This window comes from Homo sapiens, chromosome 14, assembly GCF_000001405.40.
Source record: "Homo sapiens chromosome 14, GRCh38.p14 Primary Assembly".
Taxonomy (NCBI): domain Eukaryota; kingdom Metazoa; phylum Chordata; class Mammalia; order Primates; family Hominidae; genus Homo; species Homo sapiens.
The window spans coordinates 77,171,595-77,190,897 of record NC_000014.9 but is presented as its reverse complement, the minus strand read 5'-3'; the positions used below and the strand labels follow the sequence as shown (position 1 = coordinate 77,190,897).

The 19,303-nt window shown below is 48.6% G+C and overlaps 1 protein-coding gene and 1 pseudogene across 1 annotated transcript in view, besides 1 other annotated feature; one reads left to right on the top strand and one right to left on the bottom strand.

The window, feature by feature from the left end:
- The window catches only part of TMEM63C (transmembrane protein 63C), a 77,698-nt gene extending 68,598 nt beyond the window's left edge, over nt 1-9,100 (bottom strand). The window contains exon 1 of the mRNA NM_020431.4: nt 9,004-9,100. The gene's annotated coding sequence lies outside the window, so the exon portion shown is untranslated. The remainder of the gene's footprint in view (nt 1-9,003) is intronic.
- Nucleotides 8,650-8,779: an enhancer, noted in NCBI's record as "active region_8796". NCBI's record gives its function as "activates an Ori minimal core promoter by ATAC-STARR-seq in GM12878 lymphoblastoid cells {active_cell/tissue: GM12878}" and the evidence as "EXISTENCE:reporter gene assay evidence [ECO:0000049][PMID:35858748]".
- On the top strand, nt 17,192-18,021 carry FAM204DP (family with sequence similarity 204 member D, pseudogene; annotated as a pseudogene).
- Nucleotides 18,022-19,303: the final 1,282 nt, after the last annotated feature.

Below are 19,303 nucleotides of genomic sequence, written 5' to 3'. Positions count from 1 at the left end.
AAATTTGTGTTGGCTTGTACCTCTAGAGTGGTATTAAAGAATTACAGTCATGATTATTCTTTCCTTGTGTGTGTTTATGTCTGAATACACACACAAGCACACATAGGCATACACAAAATCATGTTAAGCAATATCCATCTATTCCTATGAAGTAAGAGTTAAAATCAGAGACATGTTGAATTTTATCAAATGCATTTTAGACATTTTTAGCACTTATGAAGTTCCTTGTATGATTTTTTATTTCTTTTGAGCTATTAGTTTGTTCAATTACATTAATAGTTTTTCTACTATGGAATTTATATTTCTGGAATACAGCCCCACTTGCTTGTGGTATGTTCATTTTTGTAACATAATGCTGTGAGTCCATTTATTGCTATTTATGAATTTTGCACCACTATTCATAAGATTTTTTAGTTATTTTTCTCTTTTTGTGCTATCTTTGTCAAGGTTTGGTATCCATGTTGTTCGTGCTTCATAGAATAATTTAGAATCTCTCTTTCTCTGTGATTTGGTGTAGTTGGTGCAGTTTAAATAACATTGGCATTATCTGTGCCTTGGAGGTTTGATAGAAACTAGAAGTGATCTGAACCTTAGTTTTTTTGGAGGAGAATTTTATGAAAACTCAGTTTCTTCAGTGATTATTGGTCTGTTGGGACTTTCTACCTCTCCTGATGTCAAACTGATGATTTACATTTTCCCAAAAAATCATCAGTTTCAGCTAGTTTTCAACTGGATTTACATATGGCCAAACACAGTACCAATAATAATAATAATAATAATCATAATTCTATTTTCTCTGTATCAGTGACTATTTCCCCATTTTAATGTTCAATTTTGTATATTTGCCTCTAATCCTCTCCTAACCCCTATTAGATTATCTCATCTCTAAAAAATCATAAAATGACACATGATTTTCCCCCCAGGACCCTATTTACTATGTACACAACTCAGAAATAGAACAGCTGAAATCAGAGAAGGGGATGAGAGGGCAGCAGAGGGACAGCTTGATACAAAGTCAGTCAACAAACATTTCAGACGTGCAAAGAGCCGGCACAGGTATTCCCTGGCTTTAAGCACCCACGGCTGCTTTTCCCAACTCCCCCACCCCAGTGAAACCTGCCAGTTCCCTGAGTCCTTCACACCCAGCTGTCACCTCCTCTTGGACCCTTTCCTGACTCCCCAGGGAGATGTCAGCACCTTTCCATAGACATCTCAGATTACTTTTCTTCAACTTTGAACAATTCATTTAAACCAACTGAATTAACAAATGTAAACATTCCGTCATTTTTGCTTCAGCTGTTCTTTGTTAAATGAAGTGTTACTGACAAGTTAGAAGTCCTTCCTTTTCCCCTTTCAGTCTCAGCTCTTACTCTCTCCAAGGCACTACACACATGATCTTGGTAGGCATTGCAACAGAAATTAGTAAATCCATAAATCATAGCTAGTACAGTTTTGTGTTTTTTGCGAAAATTAAATTTTCAGCCAGGCACAGTAGCTCACACCTGTAATCCCAGCACGTTTGGAGGCCCACATGGGTGGATCACTTGAGCCCAGGAATTTGTGACCAGGTTGGGAAACATAGCAAAACCCCATCTCTACAAAAAATGCAAAAAAAAAAAAATTAGCTGGGTGTGGTGGTGTGCATCTGTAGTCCCAGCTACTCAGGAGGCTGAGGTGGAATGATCGCTTGAGCCTGAAAAGTGAAGGCAGCAATGAGTCAAGATCGCACCACTCCACTCTAGCCTGGGCAACAAAGCAAGACCCTGTCTCAAAAAAAAAAAGAAAAAGAAAAAGAAAATTAAAGTTTCACTTAATGGTATTATTTTGCAATTTCCTTTTTTTGCAACATTGTTTTTGAAATTTATTCATGTTAATACAGGATGTATCCATATGTGTATGTACACATATATCAACTTTGCTAAGGTATAATTTATAAAAAATAAAACTCCCCAGTTACACATAGTTTAACTGCTGCACAGTATCATAGTTTTATTCATTATTCTATTCTTGCAGATATTGAGGTTGAGGTCTGTCTTTTTTTTTCTGTTTGGTTGCCCAGGCTATAGTGCAGTGGCACAATCATAGCTCACTGAAACCTCAAACTCCTGGGCTCAAGCAATTCTCCCACCTCAGCCTCCCAAGTAGCTGGGTCTACAGGTACACACCACCCCACTTGGCTATTTTTTTTTCTTAGTAGATACAGGGTCTTGCTATGTTGCCCAGGCTGGTCTTAAACTCCTGGGCTCAAGCAATCCTCCCACCTGGGCCTCCAAAGTGCTGGGATTACAGGCGTGAGCCACAGAGTCCAGCCAAGACCTCTTTTTTGCATTTCAAGCATTGCTGCCCTAGATACCCTTGGAGCTGTTTCCTTATGCACATGTGTGAGTTTCTCTAGGTAATGTATACCTAGATGTGAAATCGTTGGTCATAAAGCATATACACATTTGGCTTTACTAGCATTCTTGCCAGAATGTCTCATGGAGCTTTGTATTGCTATTTTCACAGAATGTTATTATTTTTCTCAAGCTATTGTCATTAAGCCATTTCCTTGTTTACCCACACCATTCCCCATGAACTACTGGAGGACCTGTGTGTGACTGGCACTCAAAGAACACTTGAAAAGTGAAAGGATGAAGTCCTTTCTAGCAGAAGAGATAGACTCAAAGTGTTAAGGGCATTCAAGGCTGTTAAGATCTCATCTGGCTGAGATCCAGGGAGGGCTTCATCAAGGAGGTAGCATTTGAATTGGGCTTTGACGGACAGGAAGATGAACAGATGAGGATAGGGATAAGGACCAGGACTGGGATGGGGAGAGGCAGTGGCTCAGACAGTCCAGGGCACGTTTGATTTGCCAGAGCAATGGTTCTTAGCCGAGCTGGGGTGAGATGGGGCAGAAAAGCCAGGCATGTGTATTTTGCAAAAACTTCAAGGGCATCTGACACATCCCCCCGCCCCACACACAAATAACCCCTGAGTGGGAACAGAGCATGTGGGAAGGGAGCCTCACTGGAGAAGATGGGTTGGGCTTACTCCAAGATGAGCCTTCAATGGCAGGCTCTGGGTCAGAGCTGGGTTCAAAGGTAACTCCCAGGGGAAGCAGGCAGAGTCACGGGGACACCAGGCCCTGGGATAGGGCTGGGTCAGAAAGCCTGCTCTTCCCACTCACTTCCCTTCCTCTGTCTCTGGGAACAGATCAGGGCTGCGATGGTCTGGGTTCTCTCCCCAGCCACACAGGAGGGTGCTGGGACTGGGGCTCCTTCTGCTCCTCCACTTGGCAGCTCTGTGACCCAGGCCAGGGGCTTCCTGTCCCTTCCTCCCTGGCTGCTCCGTGCAGCACAAGCTGCATGTATGTGCCTGGGCCAGGGCCCCAAGAAGCCCCTCCATGGAGTGTGGAGCCTGGGCCTGGCCTTGCCGAGTCCCCTTCCTTTGCCTCGGCTCAGCCCCTCGGAACCTGGTGGGGGCGGGGTGGGAATCCTAGCCTTCTACCTTCCCTGCTCCCGTGACTCGAGATGTCCTTCAGCAGAATCTGGTTCTGGGCGCCCTGCCCAGAGTGGAGGGGAAGGGGAGAAACGCACGACCTTCTCTTCCAAGTCTTTTCGTCTCAAGCAACTTCAGCAAAACCACCAGCCCCAGCAGTAAGAGGTGAGCTCAGGATGTGTCAGCTGTGCTTGGGAGGACGGCACACAGATGGCTCCCCTGGACACAGACTGGCCATGGCCCCAGTTTGGGTTCTGCTGCTTTGGTGTGTGAGTGTGGTTGCAGCTGTCACAACCTCTCAAGCCACAGCTTTCTTACCTATTGAGCGGGTGACTCAGACTTGCTTTCTCTCCCAAGGCGTGGAGAGGATTAAAGAGTAATGACAGAGAATGTGAGGCTGCTGAGTGGCTCCAGGGCCTCAAGCCAGGCTTATTGTTCAGGCTGTTGTTCTTCTGCTGCCTGAGAAGGTCTCCCCAAGCCAGGCCTAGTTGACACGCCTGGGCACATGAGGCGCCAGCCAAGGAAGGATCCCTGGTCCAGCAACAGCTTGCTCATTGTATGAAAGGACACTCCCTGCCCACACCACACAGACACACACAGACACACACACACACACACAGACACACACACACACACACACACACCCCTTTGGTTCTGAGAAGATTCCCCCTCTGCCAGGTCCTCAGGGATGTGAGAAGCCTTTTTGATTTTTTATTTTGTTTTGTTTTTTGAGACAAGGTCTTGCTCTGTCGTCTGGGCTGGAGTGCAGTGGTGCAATCACAGCTCACTGCAGACTAAACCTTCTGGCCTCAAGTGATCCTCCCACCTCAGCCTCCTGAGTAGCTGGGACTACAGGCCTGGCTAATTTTTTCACTTTTTTGTAGAGACAAGGTCTTTCTATGTTGCCCAGGCTGGTCTTGAACTCCTGGGCTCAAGCAATCCTCCCTCCTAGGCCCCCCAAAGTGCTGGGATTATAGGCATGAGCCACCATGCATGGCCTGAAGCATTTTTGAAGGTGACAGTTCAGTTCTAACAGTGCCTGGAGCAGTCGACATTGTTGGTCAGCCATTCTTGAACATTGTTTGGTGTCATCAAAAAAGCATGGTCTGGCTGGGCACGTTGGCTCACTCCTGTAATCCCAGCACTTTGGGAGGCTGAGATGAGTGGATCACCTGAGGTCAGGAGTTTGAGACTAGCCTGGCCAACATGGCGAAACCCTGTCTCTACCAAAAACACAAAGAAATTAGCCGACGTGTTGGCGCACGCCTGTAATCCCAGCTACTCGGGAGGCTGAGGCAGGAGAATCGCTTGAACCTGGGAGGCAGAGGTTGCAGTGAGCCGAGATAGTGCCACTGCACTCCAGAGTGGGCAACAGAACGAGACTCTGTTTCAAAAAAAAAAACAACAACAACAAAACATGGTCGCCATCCCAGGGGTCCCTGGACAGCTGGCCACTCAGCAAGCAGAGGGACGAGCAAATGGAAAGAAGGGGACTCCTGGTCACCAGGCCCCAAGCTGGGCACCTTTCCGCTTCCTCCCATTCATCCTTCCAGTGGCTCTGTGTGGAGGGGATTGCTTCACCATGTTGCAAATGGAAGACTCACGGAAGTGAAGTGAGCAGGTAATGAAATAGGTGGGAACGCAGCTCCCAAGTACTCCCCCAGGCAGCGTGTCCATGTATGACAGGTCCTCTGTGCTTCCATGTCCCCCATCAAAGCAGGATTGATTTCCCCACAGGGCCCTGGGTGCATGTTCCATTGCCCTCTGTAGTGTTTCTACCCTATGGCCAAATCACTGCCACTCAGACACCCTAAGGCAATGAGTCCTCAACACCCAAAACCCAATGGACAGCTGTATCCCAGCGGACTGGCCACAGCTCCATCTTGCCCACCTATCTCTCCAAAGACCTTAGGGTCACTTGCTCTTCTGCTGGGACTCGATGGCCTGAGGCCAGCATGCACCTTGCTGGGCACAACTCTGAGAAGACTCAGCCAGAGTGAGGAGAAGGCTTCTGCCTCCAGGACCTTCCTTGGCCAGGCCACTCAGTAATGGGGAGGGGACAGTTTGGTTTCCTGTTGGAAGCTGATCTTTCTGCCTCTGATCCTCTAAGGACACCAGAGGCCCTGGCTTGGCAGGAATGAAGGTCTACAGGCACAGGGCTGGGCATGACTCACTCACCTCCAGCCCAGCTCTTCCCATCTCATCTTGAGGGTGCTCGTGTCAAATGGCAGAGTGAAAGGCTGGGAAAAGCAGAAGGTGGGAGCCCAGGACACTTGGGTCCTAGTCCTAGCTTTCTAAGCAGGTCTATGCTTCGGTTTCCCTTTGGGGAGCATTACTAATGACTACAAGGAGGCAGGAGGTGACAATGAGGCGCCCCTTCCCCGCCCACTCTGCCTCTGCATGTCTCAGCACCAGCCCCAGGGGTGTTGGCAAGGAATGTGGCAGCTTGAGTACATATCCTGCCCTAGAAACACAGAACATGGAGTCCTGGCCACACGTTGTTCTTCTTAAGAGCCACCCTCAGTTGGGCCTAAGCAATGCAGACAGATCTAGAGCAAGGACACACCATACTTCGTGAGCTGCCCACGTTCTCATCTCAGCTCCTCCTGTAACCCTACCTTGCAGGAGTTGCACCAGCCAACTCATGGGCAAGAATGTGGAGTTCCATTTACACCACCCATGCTGATGTGTAAGCTGTGAAAACCACTGCTCTCCCACGAGAGGAAAGAAGAGTGAGCATTGGGGCCCCACCTCAGGCAAAACAGGGCACTAAAAGCTGCTGATCTCACTGGAAGCTGAGCACTTCCTCTGAGCACTTTCATTACAGCCTTTCCCAGTGTGAGCCTGCCCATGGCCTGAGCACCACGTGGGTTCCTGCAAACTGGACGCTCTGTGCAAACAGCTCCCAGCACTTTACACCCATTATCTTTATGGTTCTTCCACCCGCCTCTTCCCAGGAAGAATCAGAGCAGAGGTCGTGGAATTCGAGAGTTGAGGCAGTGGGGAGGGTACAGGCCTGTAGGAAGCTCCACGGTGCCACTAGACACCTGCATTTTCGGGGGTGAACATCCTGTTAAATATGTTAACTATAATGGGCAGCTGGGGATGGAGGGGATGAAACTCCTCAAGGGCCCAAGCACAACTTGAAGCGGGCTGGGGAGGGCTGACCTGCCTTCCCAGCCTAGAAGGATGCCCTAGGCTGGCCGCAGAGGGAGAGAGCATCCTCTGAAGAAGAAATGACCATGTTTCCCCCATCAAGGCAGGAAACAGATGGCTTCCACCTAGACCAGAGACTCCAGGAATAATACTTCCCATTTGTAATAAACACTTGACAAGTTTCCAAAGCCCTCCCACCCATCTGGAGAAGGTGTTTTCATGCCTAGCTATCAGGTAGAGATGCTGAGGGCAGAGTGCCTGCCGATAGAGGCACTCGGTCCAGCTCTCTGCTCTTTAAGTCTGGTTCTCACCACGGGGCCTCTCTGAGGCCTGACCCTTTCTCTGCTAGCTGGGAGGGACACATACCATGTGGTTTCCCTCCAGTATGGTGGGCCCTCTCCTCTCTGGTGCTATATTGTCACCCCACAAGCAGCTAGTTCTCATCTGGTTTACTGGGAACCCCATCCCTTCCCACAGGTCACCCCAGCAGCTCCTGGTGGTCATCATGCAACCCAAGGCTCCTGTGAAGCCAGCAGGGGCCAGCGTCAGGGGTTCTGTGCTCAGAGGGTGTCTGAAAAGGAGCAATTCATGAGCCAGGCACATGGCAACTCCTTTCACTTGGAGTAAACCGGTGCTGGCCCAAACCCCCGATCCGGAGATGCTGTCAGGGAGATAAATGAAGTCCCTCTACCTGTGGATCCCCACTCCCTGGCTATGCTCACAGCTGCTGGCACTCGGGCAGGAGGGATGCCTGTTTTTGGCTCCGATAGGCCCACAGAAATTGTGTATCCCTGTGGGGGCATGATGGGAAGGTAACCAAGAGACTTCACTTCCCGTCTTCAAGCTGCTTCCTTCCCAAGAAACTAGAAAACATATCTTAAAGGAGGAGAAAATGCTGGTGCTGTTCCCTGTCACCGACCTCCTCCACACCCATCAGGAGGCCCTTGCAGCCTCAGCTTCTCAGCGCTGGGACTGTGGGGTGCGAAGAGAAGACAGGAAGAGGCCCCTCCAGTCTGCCCTTTGGTGGCTGGGGAGTCAGAAGACCTGCATGTAGGTAAGATACCTGGAGAACTCACTCCACCCTCTGTGCCTCAGTTTCCTCATCTGGCTCTGGCTCTAAAATGTCGCTCTCTCCTTGCCTCAGTTTCCCTCCAGGGAAGGTCATCTGTCCCAGGGAGAAGAACAAGGTGAATTCACTTCTAAGGGGAAAGTTCACTTCTAAGGGCAATAGACGGAATGTAGCCCATTTCTCCCAGGGACAGGGGCCGGAGAGAGAACAAGGATAAGGTGATAACAGAGGGTGGTGCTAAGAGATGGACCCTTTCTTGAGGGAAAACACATCTTCCTGGAGCGCTGCAGGCTGTTGAAGGAGAAAGTTCATCTCCTCATTCCCATCAGCACGGGCCTTCCTCTCCTCAAAGCCAACTCTCATTCTTTCCTTGAACCCACAAGAACAGCACACGCTCACACCCCCTCTGCTCACTTAGGTGTTTTTCATGAGCAATTTTCTCCTGTCCCCAGACAATCTAATTGCTGCTTACACCCATGATACCCTGGAGCCCCATGCGGAAGTTGCAACTCCCTGCATTCTCAGGGATGAGGAAATGGGGTGCTGGGGTGGGGGGAGGTCCTGGGGTCTAGAGAGGAAGAAGGGCCCCTGCCCCTCCAGAGGGCATTCGGTGAAGGCAGTGCCTGGGAGGCCAGCTCTGTAGGGCCTGCTCAGTGACCTTGGTCAAGCCACAGCACCCCTGGGCCTCAGTTTCCCCAGGGCCTTCATCCAAACACAACGTTCCTCTCTCAAGGCCAGGGCGAGTAGGGAGGCAAGAGCCTTTCTTTGGAAGCACATGGGGAAAGGGTGGCATTGTTCCCCTGGGGGCCCAGGAGCCCAGCCCGCCAGGCAGCAGCGCAGCAGTGACGTTGTCATAACCCATAACGGCGGAGCAGACTGCCCCCTCCCGTCCCAGCCCAGAGAGTGGGCGGCAGAGCCCCGGGGAATCCCTGGGTGGGGGAGAGGGTAGCCCCGAGCGGTAACTCCCACCTGGCTGTCAGGCAGGAGGCCGGGGACCCCCCAAGCAAACCTCCTACCCACCTCCGTTCCCCCAACCCAGTGAAGACCGGTCTACTAAAGCCACGCCCTCCCGGGTGGGCGGCTCAGGCCACCCTTTCCTGGGTACAAGCTAGAGACAGCCAGCGTGGCAAGGGACTGTGGCGCAGTCTCCCCTACCCCCATCCCTCCCAATGCAAGGTCTCAGAAAGCACAGAAACAAGCAATCCTTCCCCGCCCCCTCCCCGTGCGGGACCTGGATCCGGCGCCCCTTCTTCCCGGCCCGACCAGCCCCGGTCACCGCACCCGCATCGCGTGCTCACCACATTTGCGTCCTCAGCACCGCGGCCCCAGCCCCAGGCTCGGCGCTCAGGCCGCCAGGCTGCAGTGACAGGCTCCACGCTCCCCACCTGGGAGGAGACTGCCAGCGGGTCCTCCTCCTCGCCGGCTGGGCGAAGCCAGCCCCACCTGGCAAGGGACTGTCAGCAAATTCCTCTCTGCATCACTGTGAGAGAGGCATCCCGGCTCCTCCCAAGCAGGGGCCAACCTTGGCCCCGCCCCAAAGCTTCTCTGACCTGCCGGGGAACCCAGGCTGGCAGATCCTACGCGAAGACCCAGGCTCCGCCTCAGAGACCCTGTCGCTACCAGGAACCATCTGCAAATTACTATCTCAAACACACAAGGCTGCCGGTCCCTGGTTCCAGCTTGCTCCAGCTGCCCTGATGCATTGGGCCTTGGCAGCTCCTTTGCCACCTCCCCTCGCCCTCCCTGAGGCATGTCGCCTTTCCCAGTCTCCTTAGTCCCATCAGCCAGAAGCAAGAAAAGCCACTCCACTCCCACAAAGATAGCCCTCTGCCCCGCCCAAGGACCAGGTCCTGGCACCAGCCTAGTGGCTGGTACCCAGCTGCTACCCAGACTCCTTCTACAGCAAAGGAGTGATCTACAATTGGCCACAGCCCCACCAGGGAGGGCCAAGGGAGTGAGCTGGGTCATTTCCGGTTTGCGGTGGGCCACAATCCTGCAGGTATCAGAGTTTCATCAAAGTCCTGCCCACTCTGCTATAGACACTGGTTTTGACCCCGAGGACAGGTGCCAGTGTTTGCAACCCCCAAAGACCAGTGTGCAAAACAAGGGGCAGTAGTAAACAGCCTCTCCCTCCCAGGCAGGGGCCTAGGCACATTTATGTCATCGACATTATCTGGCACTTGCAGTACAATAGCTGATGGGAAAGAAGCCACTGCCCAATGCTCTCTGAAAGTGACTCCCTTTCACCAGTTAGGGCTGTTAACAATATGATAAGAATGCCATAGAGGAAGCCCTGTGAACACAAGGTCATGAGGTGCCAGAGGAGGGGGTCAAAGGCTGGTTATGCTTTCATGGGTTGATTTCCCCATAACCAGCAGCACAGCACCCCCTTCCACACAACCGTATCAGGCTGGCGCACTCTAGTCATCTCCCTCTTCCCCTGACCCCCTGGTTCTCATGACCCAACCACCCCACGAAGACCCAAGGGTGAGCCACATAGACAGACTCTGTCGAAGTCTATCCATTATCCACTCACTCGCCCAGGCTGGAGTGCAGTGGTGTGATCTCGGCTCACTGCAAGCTCCGCCTCCCAGGTTCACGCCATTCTCCTGCCTCAGCCTCCCGAGTAGCTGGGACTACAAGCTCCCGCCACCACGCCCGGATAATTTTTTTTTTTTGTATTTTTTAGTAGAGACGGGGTTTCACCGCGTTAGCCAGAATTGTCTCGATCTCCTGACCTCGTGATTCGCCCGCCTCAGCCTCCCAAAGTGCTGGGATTACAGGCGTGAGCCACCGCGCCGGCCCACTCATTATCTTTTTCATTCACGGGACGGGAAGACTTTTGAACACGTATTCTGCAGTGGCAACAGGGCATCAGGGTCTAGGTTCCAGCCCTTGCTTAGCGGCTATCATGCTGTGCAACCTTGGGTAGCTCACTTGATCTCTCTTTGTTTTTCCCTCTCATCTGTAATTCTGAGAGGGCTGGGCTAGTTGAGGTCTCACACCCCTCTGCTCTGACACCTTTATTCTCTTCTAGGATAAAGGCTGGCGGGTACAAAGACAAATCAGATCAATACAAGAATAGTGCTGGGAACGCTAGCTGCCTGCATTTCAGTCCCAGCTGGGCCACCTAAATGTGGGACTTAACCTCTCTGTGCTTTTTTTTTTTTTTGGCATATGGAAAATGGGGGAAAACAATAATCATAAGCTTAAAGGGTGATTGTGAGGATTAAATGAAATACCATGTACAAAATAAATGCTCTGCAAATATTCATTGTTGTTGCTGTAGTTATGCTATTCACAGTCTGGTGGGACAGCATAAATTCTCAACAAAAGCAGTTCGTCTTTTCCTTCTCTGCTTCATCATCACAGAAGCTGTTGTAAGCCCATATCCAACCCACTCCACCTCCTAGAGGAGAAACCTGATAAGCATCAAGGTCATGCCGTAAAGAGAGGCCAGGTGTGGTGGCTCACGCCTATAATCCTAACAGTTTGGGAGGCTGAGGCGGGCAGATGACTTGAGGTTGGGAGTTCGAGACCAGCCTGGCCAATGTGATGAAACCCAGTCTCAACCAAAAATACAAAAATTAGTCGGGGGTGGTGGCGGGCACCTGCAATCCCAGCTACTTGGGAGGCTGAGGCAGGAGAATCACTTGAACCCAGGAGACGGAGGTTGCAGTGAGCTGAGATCATACCACTGCACTCCAGCTGGGCGACAGAGTGAGACTCCGTCTTGAAAAAAAAAGAAAGATACAGTAAAGGGGGACGGAAGCCAGGTGTGGTAGCTCACACCTGTAATCCCAGCTACCTGGGAGGCTGAGGCAGGAGGACTTCTTGAGGCCAGGAGGTTGAGACAAGCCTGGGCAATATAGAGAGACCTACATCGGAGAGGAGAGGAGGGGAGGGGAGGGCAGGAGAGGGAAGGGGAGGGGAGGGGAGGGGAAGAGAGGAGAGGAGAAAGAAAGAAAAAGAAAGAAAGAAAGAAAGAAAGAAAGAAAGAAAGAAAGAAAGAAAGAAAGAAAGAAAGAAAGAAAAAGAAAGAAAGGAAGGAAGGAAGGAAGGAAAGAAGGAAGGAAGGGGAAGGGAAGGAAGGGAGGGAGGGAGGGAGGGAAGGGAAGGAAGGGAGGAGAACCCATGGAAGGAGGAGAACCCATGGAGATGCCAGGTGGGCTGTGTGGTGGGGAAAGAGATGACCCCAATGTCCCAACCAACCACCTAGATGAGTGTCAGCTTGTAGAAGGTTCTCAGTAAAGGTGTATGGGTATGAATAACTGAGGCTTTCAAAAGAAAGGCCCTTCTGGTCTGTGACACTGAAAACACTTATCATGCTCTCACTTGTGGATTGGGGTGGGAGTGCCTTTGGCCTGAGTTGTCAAATCTGAAAGATTATGCCTGTTATTGTCTTCATGACCGCGTTGTTAACCTCCAATGTCTGGTCTGGGAACATAATCCAGAACAATATAAAAGAAACAAAAGGACTCTGAGTAACCCTTACAGTGAGCTGAGATGGCACCACTGCACTCCAGCCTGGGCGACAGAGCGAGACTCCGTCTCAAAAGAAAAAAAAAATAGACAGAGAGAGAGGTACAGAAAAGGGGGATGGAAGCCAAGTGTGGTGGCTCACACCTGTAATCCCAGCTACTTGGGAGGCTGAGGCAGGAGGATTTCTCGAGGCCAGGAGGTTGAGACCAGCCTGGGCAATATAGAGAGATCTACATCAGAAAGGAGAGGAGAGGAGGGGAGGGGAGGGCAGGGGAGGGAAGAGGAGGGGAGGGGAAGGAAGAGGAGGGGAGGGAAGAGGAGGGGAGGGAAGAGGAGGGGAGGGAAGAGGAGGGGAGGGGAGGTGAGGGAAGAGGAGGGGAGGGGAGGGGCTTTTTCTGCAGATCACCTTGTGTCTTCAATTGGTGCCCACCTTTATTTACTCCACACAAAATTTCAATAGATCCAGTGTGGCAGAGACTGCTAAGAGCCCCTTTTCTTTCCCTCTTCCTTTTTGCAGTAGAGCTCCCAAGATTAAAACCTGGATTTATGGCTCTCCTACTATAGACCACATATCCCAGAACCCCTCGAAGCCAGGTGGAAGTATGAACTAAGTCCTAGCCAGTGAGATATGAGTGGAAGTAATAGGTTTAATTTCTGGGCCACATACTTAAAAGGAAGCTGGCTGTTCTCTACTTCCTCTTTCCTCTTTGTGAAGACTGGGATGTGGACATGGGGTGGAGGGGAGGGCAGCTTTGATGATGCTGACCAGGACAACTCCCTAGAGACAGTCAAGCATCAAGGCAGGAAGAACTTGAGTCACAAGATGACCTGGAGAAGTGCCCTACAATGTTGACCACCTTGCATTTTTCTCACGGGAGAGCAATAACCTTGTAAAGTCACTATTGTCTGGTCTCTGTTGCAGCAGCTGAACCAATAGCCTAAAGGAGAAGCCACTTTCCTGATTTTCAAAACCACAGCAGATGAGCAGGAGCATGTTAGAAGGGGAAAGGACTAATAAGAAAGCAAGCACAGTGAAAAGGGCAAAAGTCAAGAGCAAGAGAAGAGAGAACAACGATTAAAAAAAAAAAAAAAAAAAAAAAGGCCGGGCGCAGTGACTCACGCCTATAATCCCAGCATTTTGGGAGACCGGGGCGGGTGGATCACGAGGTCAGGAGATCGAGACCCTCCTGGCTAACATGGTGAAACCCTGTCTCTGCTAAAAATACAAAAAATTACCCAGGTGTGGTGGCGGGCGCCTGTAATCCCAACTACTCAGGAGGGGCTTTTCCCCTTTTGCTCAGCACTTCTCTTCCTGCTGTCATGTGAAGAAAGATGGGTTTGCTTCCCCTTCCATCGTGATTGTAAGTTTCCTGAAGCCTCCCCAGCCATGTGGAACTGAGTCAATTAAACCTCTTTTCTTTATAAATTATCGAGTCTCAGGTATGTCTTTATCAGCAGCATGAGGACGGACTAACACACCACCTAATCTACCAAACATCATAGCTTAACCTACCTTAAATGTGCTCAGAATACTGACATTAGCCTATAGTTGGGCAAAATCACCTAACACAAAGCCTATTGTATAATAAAATGTTGCATATTTCAACACTTTATTATAAAATGGGCTTTGTGTTAGAGGATTTTATTTATTGAATACTGAAAATGAAAAAGAGTGGTTGTATGGATACTTGAAGTATGATTTCTGCTGAATACATATGGCTTTTGCACCATTTTAAAGTCAAAAAATTGTAAGTAGAGTCGTTGTAAGTTGGACTGCCTGTATTGATTGATCAGTGAAATTGTCTGAGATCTTAAACCAGCCCAGTGAACAACTGCAGGGACCCAACCCTCATAGTTTTGTTGAGCCTATGGTGGCCCTGGGAACTTGTCTCTGCTATTTAGAAATAATTTCCATCATAAACACTCAAGCTCACAAAGACCTACACACACAAGAATGCTCATTGCAGAATTGTTTGCAATTGCAAAAACAACAGTAACAATTAAAAAAACCTCACAACTGTGCACAGCCTACGCAAATGTACATGGGTTTTCTGTGGTACCCAGGTGAGATGTTCAGGAAAAATCAAAATGAGAGAGAAAAGGCAGGAAGTGAAAGCCACACACCAGTGTCCCTATGACCCCAAGGCCTGGTGCTGGGTGAGGCTGCTAGGCAGAGGGTAAGCAGGGGGCCATGGGGTTGGAGATGATGGGAGTCAGACCACAGATTTTACTACAAGACCCAGAATATAAACATATGCCACTGACAGGGACAGTATTTTCAAGGCAAAGCCAAGACACTATTTATACTTTAAGTGGCAAGCCACATACTCTAGGGTATCCCTGATCCCAAGAGCCAAATAAAAACTCTCTAAGAAAGTGGATACATTTTGGGAGCTCAGCTCCTATCACATGCTCTAATCTGCCTTTCCAGACAGAAGTGAATTTGTTTTCCTGTGCAGAAAGTAGTGGGGAAATGTATTGGAATGGAAAACCATTTTTCCAGTGTCTTCTGCCTGACCAGACACAGGGTTGTGGATTTCTAGAGAGAGGAAGACTTCAGGCTTAGGTCTAGACACACAGCACTGTCTCTACTTGGAAGCTGGCATTCCCCAGTGGAGGAGTCAGGCCCTATGATCACTCAGCCCTGCCACAGAAGAGAATCCAGGCTTCCCTTCTTCTGGGGCAACCCTGGCCCCTCTGCCCTCTCTTACCCCTGGCCTCAGACTGGGCCCCACTCACCAAGACCCCACCGGTGGGTATTCTTAGCCAGCAGCAATCTCTTTTACTAGTACTAGTGGAAGACGAGAAATTCACAGCTGGTAGGAGGTCATTGTTATCCACCGCCACTATCACTGAATGATATTGGAAACTTCTGGGCGGGTGAGGTCAGAAGCAGGTGTTGATGACATCACAAAAGAAACACCACTGTGTTGTGCTGGAACTCTGGGATTCTGGTACCATTTCTTCACCTAGGATTGAGCGCAACTGAGCATTTTCAGACAGATCTGGGGATTGAAGCCTGCAGAGCCTCACCTCAGTTCTATCTTGAGCCTGGCTGATGCCCTGCAGAATTAGATCCTTAAAGAATAAATGGGTTGGCCAGGTGTGGTGGCTCACGCCTGTAATCCCAGCACTTTGGGAAGCCGAGGCAGGTGAATCACGAGGTCAGGAGTTCGAGGCCAGCCTGGCCAAGATGGCAAAACCCCGTCTCTACTAAAAATACAAAAATTGGCTGGGCACAGTGGCAGGCACCTGTAATCCCAGCTACTCGGGAGGCTGAGGCAGGAGAATTGCTTGAACCCGGAAGGCGGAGGTTGCAGTGAGCCAAGACCGTACTACTGCACTCCAGCCTGGGCGACAAAGCAAGACTCTGTTCCAAAAAAAAAAAAAAAAAAAAAACACACACACACACGCACGGGTCCTTGCATTGATATTTTATTGAGGCTATAGAACTCCCCTGCTTCCCCGAGATGATACTCATGAGGCAGAAATATGGGTTTCTTCTGGGCCAGAAAGTGAAGATCTCCTCTTCAGGGCCTCATGTCCAGGCTCTTGAAATCAGCTCCGTTGTACTCCTTCCCCTGGGAGTTGGTGTCTGTTTTCAGTAATGAACCTTTTCTTTGTTGTATAAGCTTTATTAACTTTGTGAAATATAATACATATACAGAGAAGCATATACCATACGCAAGTGAGCACGATAATGAATAATCATAAAGCAAAGTCTTGTGTAGCGACACTGTTTAAGTCGATAAATAGAACATTATCACCAGAAGTTTCCCTGTATCGTTTCCCAATCCACCCCTTTCTCTTTCAGTCCCTTCCCTGCACAGAGATAGCCCTATCCTGACTTCAGTCTTTCCTTGCATTGCTTTGTACTTTTACCACCTGATTATTCATTCCTAATCAATATGGTTTGGTTTGGTCTGTATTTTGAGTGTACATTAAGAGAATTGGAGTATAAATATACTTTCATGTTGGGCTGTTAAAACTCAACATTGGTTTTTTGTTTTGTTTTTTTGAGATGGAGTTTCACTCTTGTCGCCCAGGCTGGAATGCAATGGCACAATCTAGGCTCACTGCAACCTCTGCCTCCCAGGTTCAAGCGATTCTCCTGCCTCAGCCTGCCGGGTAGCTGGGATTACAGGCGTGCGCCACCACGCCCAGTTAATTTTTGTATTTTTAGCAGAGATGGGGCTTCACCATGTTGGCCAGGCTGGTCTCAAACTCCTGACCTTAGGTGATCTGCCTGCCTCACCTCCCACAATGCTGGGATTACAGGCATGAGTCACCATGCCTGGCCTCAACATTGTGTTTTTAAGATTCATCCACACTGTGGTATGCAGTTGGAGTTTATTCATTTTCATTACTCTATTGTTTGACTGTGCCATAAATTAATCCTTCCTGGTTTGTTTGGCATTTGTTTTTATTTCCAGTTTTTTAATAGTGAGTGCTATGATTTGAATGTTTTTTGTCTCCTCCAAAATTAATTAATTGAAAAATATAGGCCAGGTGCGGTGGCTCACTCCTATAATCCCAGCACTTTGAGAGGCTGAGGCCAGCAGATTGTTTGAATCTAGGAGTTTGAGATCAGCCTGGGCAACATAGTGCGATTCCATCTGTTAGAAAATACGAAAATTAGCTGGGCATGGTGGCATGCACCTGCAGCCCTAGCTACTCTGGAAGCTGAGATGAGAGGATTGCTTGAGCCTGGGAGGCAGAGGTTGCAGTGAGCCAAAATCACACCTCTGCACTCCAGCCTGGGCGACTGAGACCCTGTCTCAAAAAAAAAAAAAAAAAAAAAAAAAAAAAAAAAAAAAAAAGAAAAGAAAAGAAAGAAAGGAAAAAGAAAAAGATGGTCAAGCAAGAACTCAATCATTTTAAACTGTTCCAGAGCATAGAAATAGAAGTAAAATGTCCACATTATTTTATACAAAGCCCTGAAATAATACACTGAAATAATACACAACAATGATTTCACACAAAAATTATTTCTTAAAAAATTTTTTGGTTGACAGGGTCTTAAGATGGCTGCCGGGCGGCTGCATCCTGACAGAAGAAAAGATGTTGAGTGGGCTAGTACCTCCTGGCCTAAATGAAAGTGATGTTGAGTCAAACTCTGAAGATGAAGCTACATTGGAGAGCTCTGGGCTTAACTTACAGGAAGATAAAGAGGATGGGAGCAACAGAAAAGCAGAAATCATAGATTTCTCAAAAGATGAAGCAAAAAGTGAAGCAGAGTCAAATGTAAATGCCTAAGAAGAGAGTCCTTCTGGAATTCCCTTAGATATGTGGAATTGAACAGTCCTCAAATGCAGCCCAGTGGAAGGAGCTTACTCAGTATGTTGGAGTCAATGATAGGTTTGACCCCCCTGTTAAAAGGAAAACCACTGAGAAGGCCTCGAAAAGAGGATAGAGCAGGCTGTGGAGGAGTGGAATATTGAGAGGGCTGAAGAACTCAGCAACTAGCTAGCTACTCGAGAGCTTGGTGTAAAAATTGCCAAAGCAGTTGTCTGCCACAAGTTTGTAAAAGCCAAAAATGGAGACTAAAAATTCACAGGGCTGCCTGAAAAAAGAAGAAACTCGCATGGGGGTTTGAAGCAAAGAAGAGATGGGCAACCAAAAGCAATGGGATATATGTAACTTGCCAGAGTGCTTGAAGACATTTATAGACTCAAATGCTCAATTTACCGAGAACGTTTTCCTGCCTGTGTTAAATGTCAGAAAATTGAGAGCACTAGAAAAGAAATAAGCATAAAATTTGGGAGTTTGATTATCAGCTCTTTTCAATCTTTCTCTAAGGACTTTGTCCCATTGAAGTGAATAAAATGAAGCATTCTGTTATTTTTATAAGAAATGTAAGAAAAAATATAGAAAAAAAGGAAAGGATTTTGTTTATTTATTTGTATAAACCCACAGTATAAAATCAGTTTTGCAGCCAGTCGCGGTGGCTCATGTCTGTAATCCCAGCACTTTGGGAAGCCAAGGTGGGTGGATCACTTGATCTCAGGAGTTCGAGACCAGCGTGGCTGGCATGGTGAAACCCCAGCAGCTGGGCATGGTGGCGCATGCCTGTAGTCTCAGCTACCAGGGAAGCTGAGGCAGGAGAATGGCTTGAACCCGGGAGGTGGAGGTTGCAATAAGCTGAGATCGCACCATTGCACTCCAGCCTGGGTGACAAAGACTCTGTCTCAAAAAAAAAAAAAAAAAAAATCAGTTTTGCTGCTTTTCATTTATTTGGTTTAGCATAGCCAGTGAGCTTCTTGTACTTCCTTTCTTTTTGAGACAGATTCTCACTCACTGTGTCACCTAGGCTAGAGTGCAGTAGCATGGTCTTGGCTCACTGCAACCACTGTCTCCTGGGTTCAGGTGATTCTCTGATTCTCATGCCTCAGCCTCCTGAGAAGCTGGGATTACAGGCAAGCACCACCATGGCTGGCTAATTTCTTTTTGTATTTTTAGTAGAGACAGGGTTTTGCCATGTGGGTTAGGCTGGTCTTGAACTCCTGGCCTCATATGATCCACCTGCCTCGGCCTCCCAAAGTGCTATGATTACAGGCATAAGCGATCATACCGGCCTTGTACTTCCTTATCTGTACCCAGTATAATTACACGTTTACTGGAGCTGTGTTTTTAAGATTGATAATTGTTTACAATGGATTAGTCGTAAGTGCCAAAGAGTCTCAATTGATTCTGTCTACAAATGATGACTTGACCTTAATGTCATAAAAGTAGTTACTAATTTTTTTTATTGACGGCAGTAGACCTGATATTTCAGAATTGCATAGTAAAAGCAATTTATTAATTTTTGTGTACTTCCAGATAAACTATTACAATAAAGAAAGGGGCCGAATGTTAAAAAAAATTTTTTTCCATCTTGGTTACTGCCTGAGCAGGTTGGAGCTGTGGGTGAGGGTTCCCTGGAATGGGGACAAGTTGGTTCCAGATGGTTTTGATACACCTCATTCTGCAACCTTCCTTTTCATACTCCAGCCCCATAAAAAACACATGGTATGGAAGTAGTACTAGGAAAACTCCCTCTTCCCTTCTTCAGACTTGCTTCCTTACTTCTTTACTACTTTGGTCAGTATCACTGTAATGTGGCAGCTGCTTCTGAGGGGT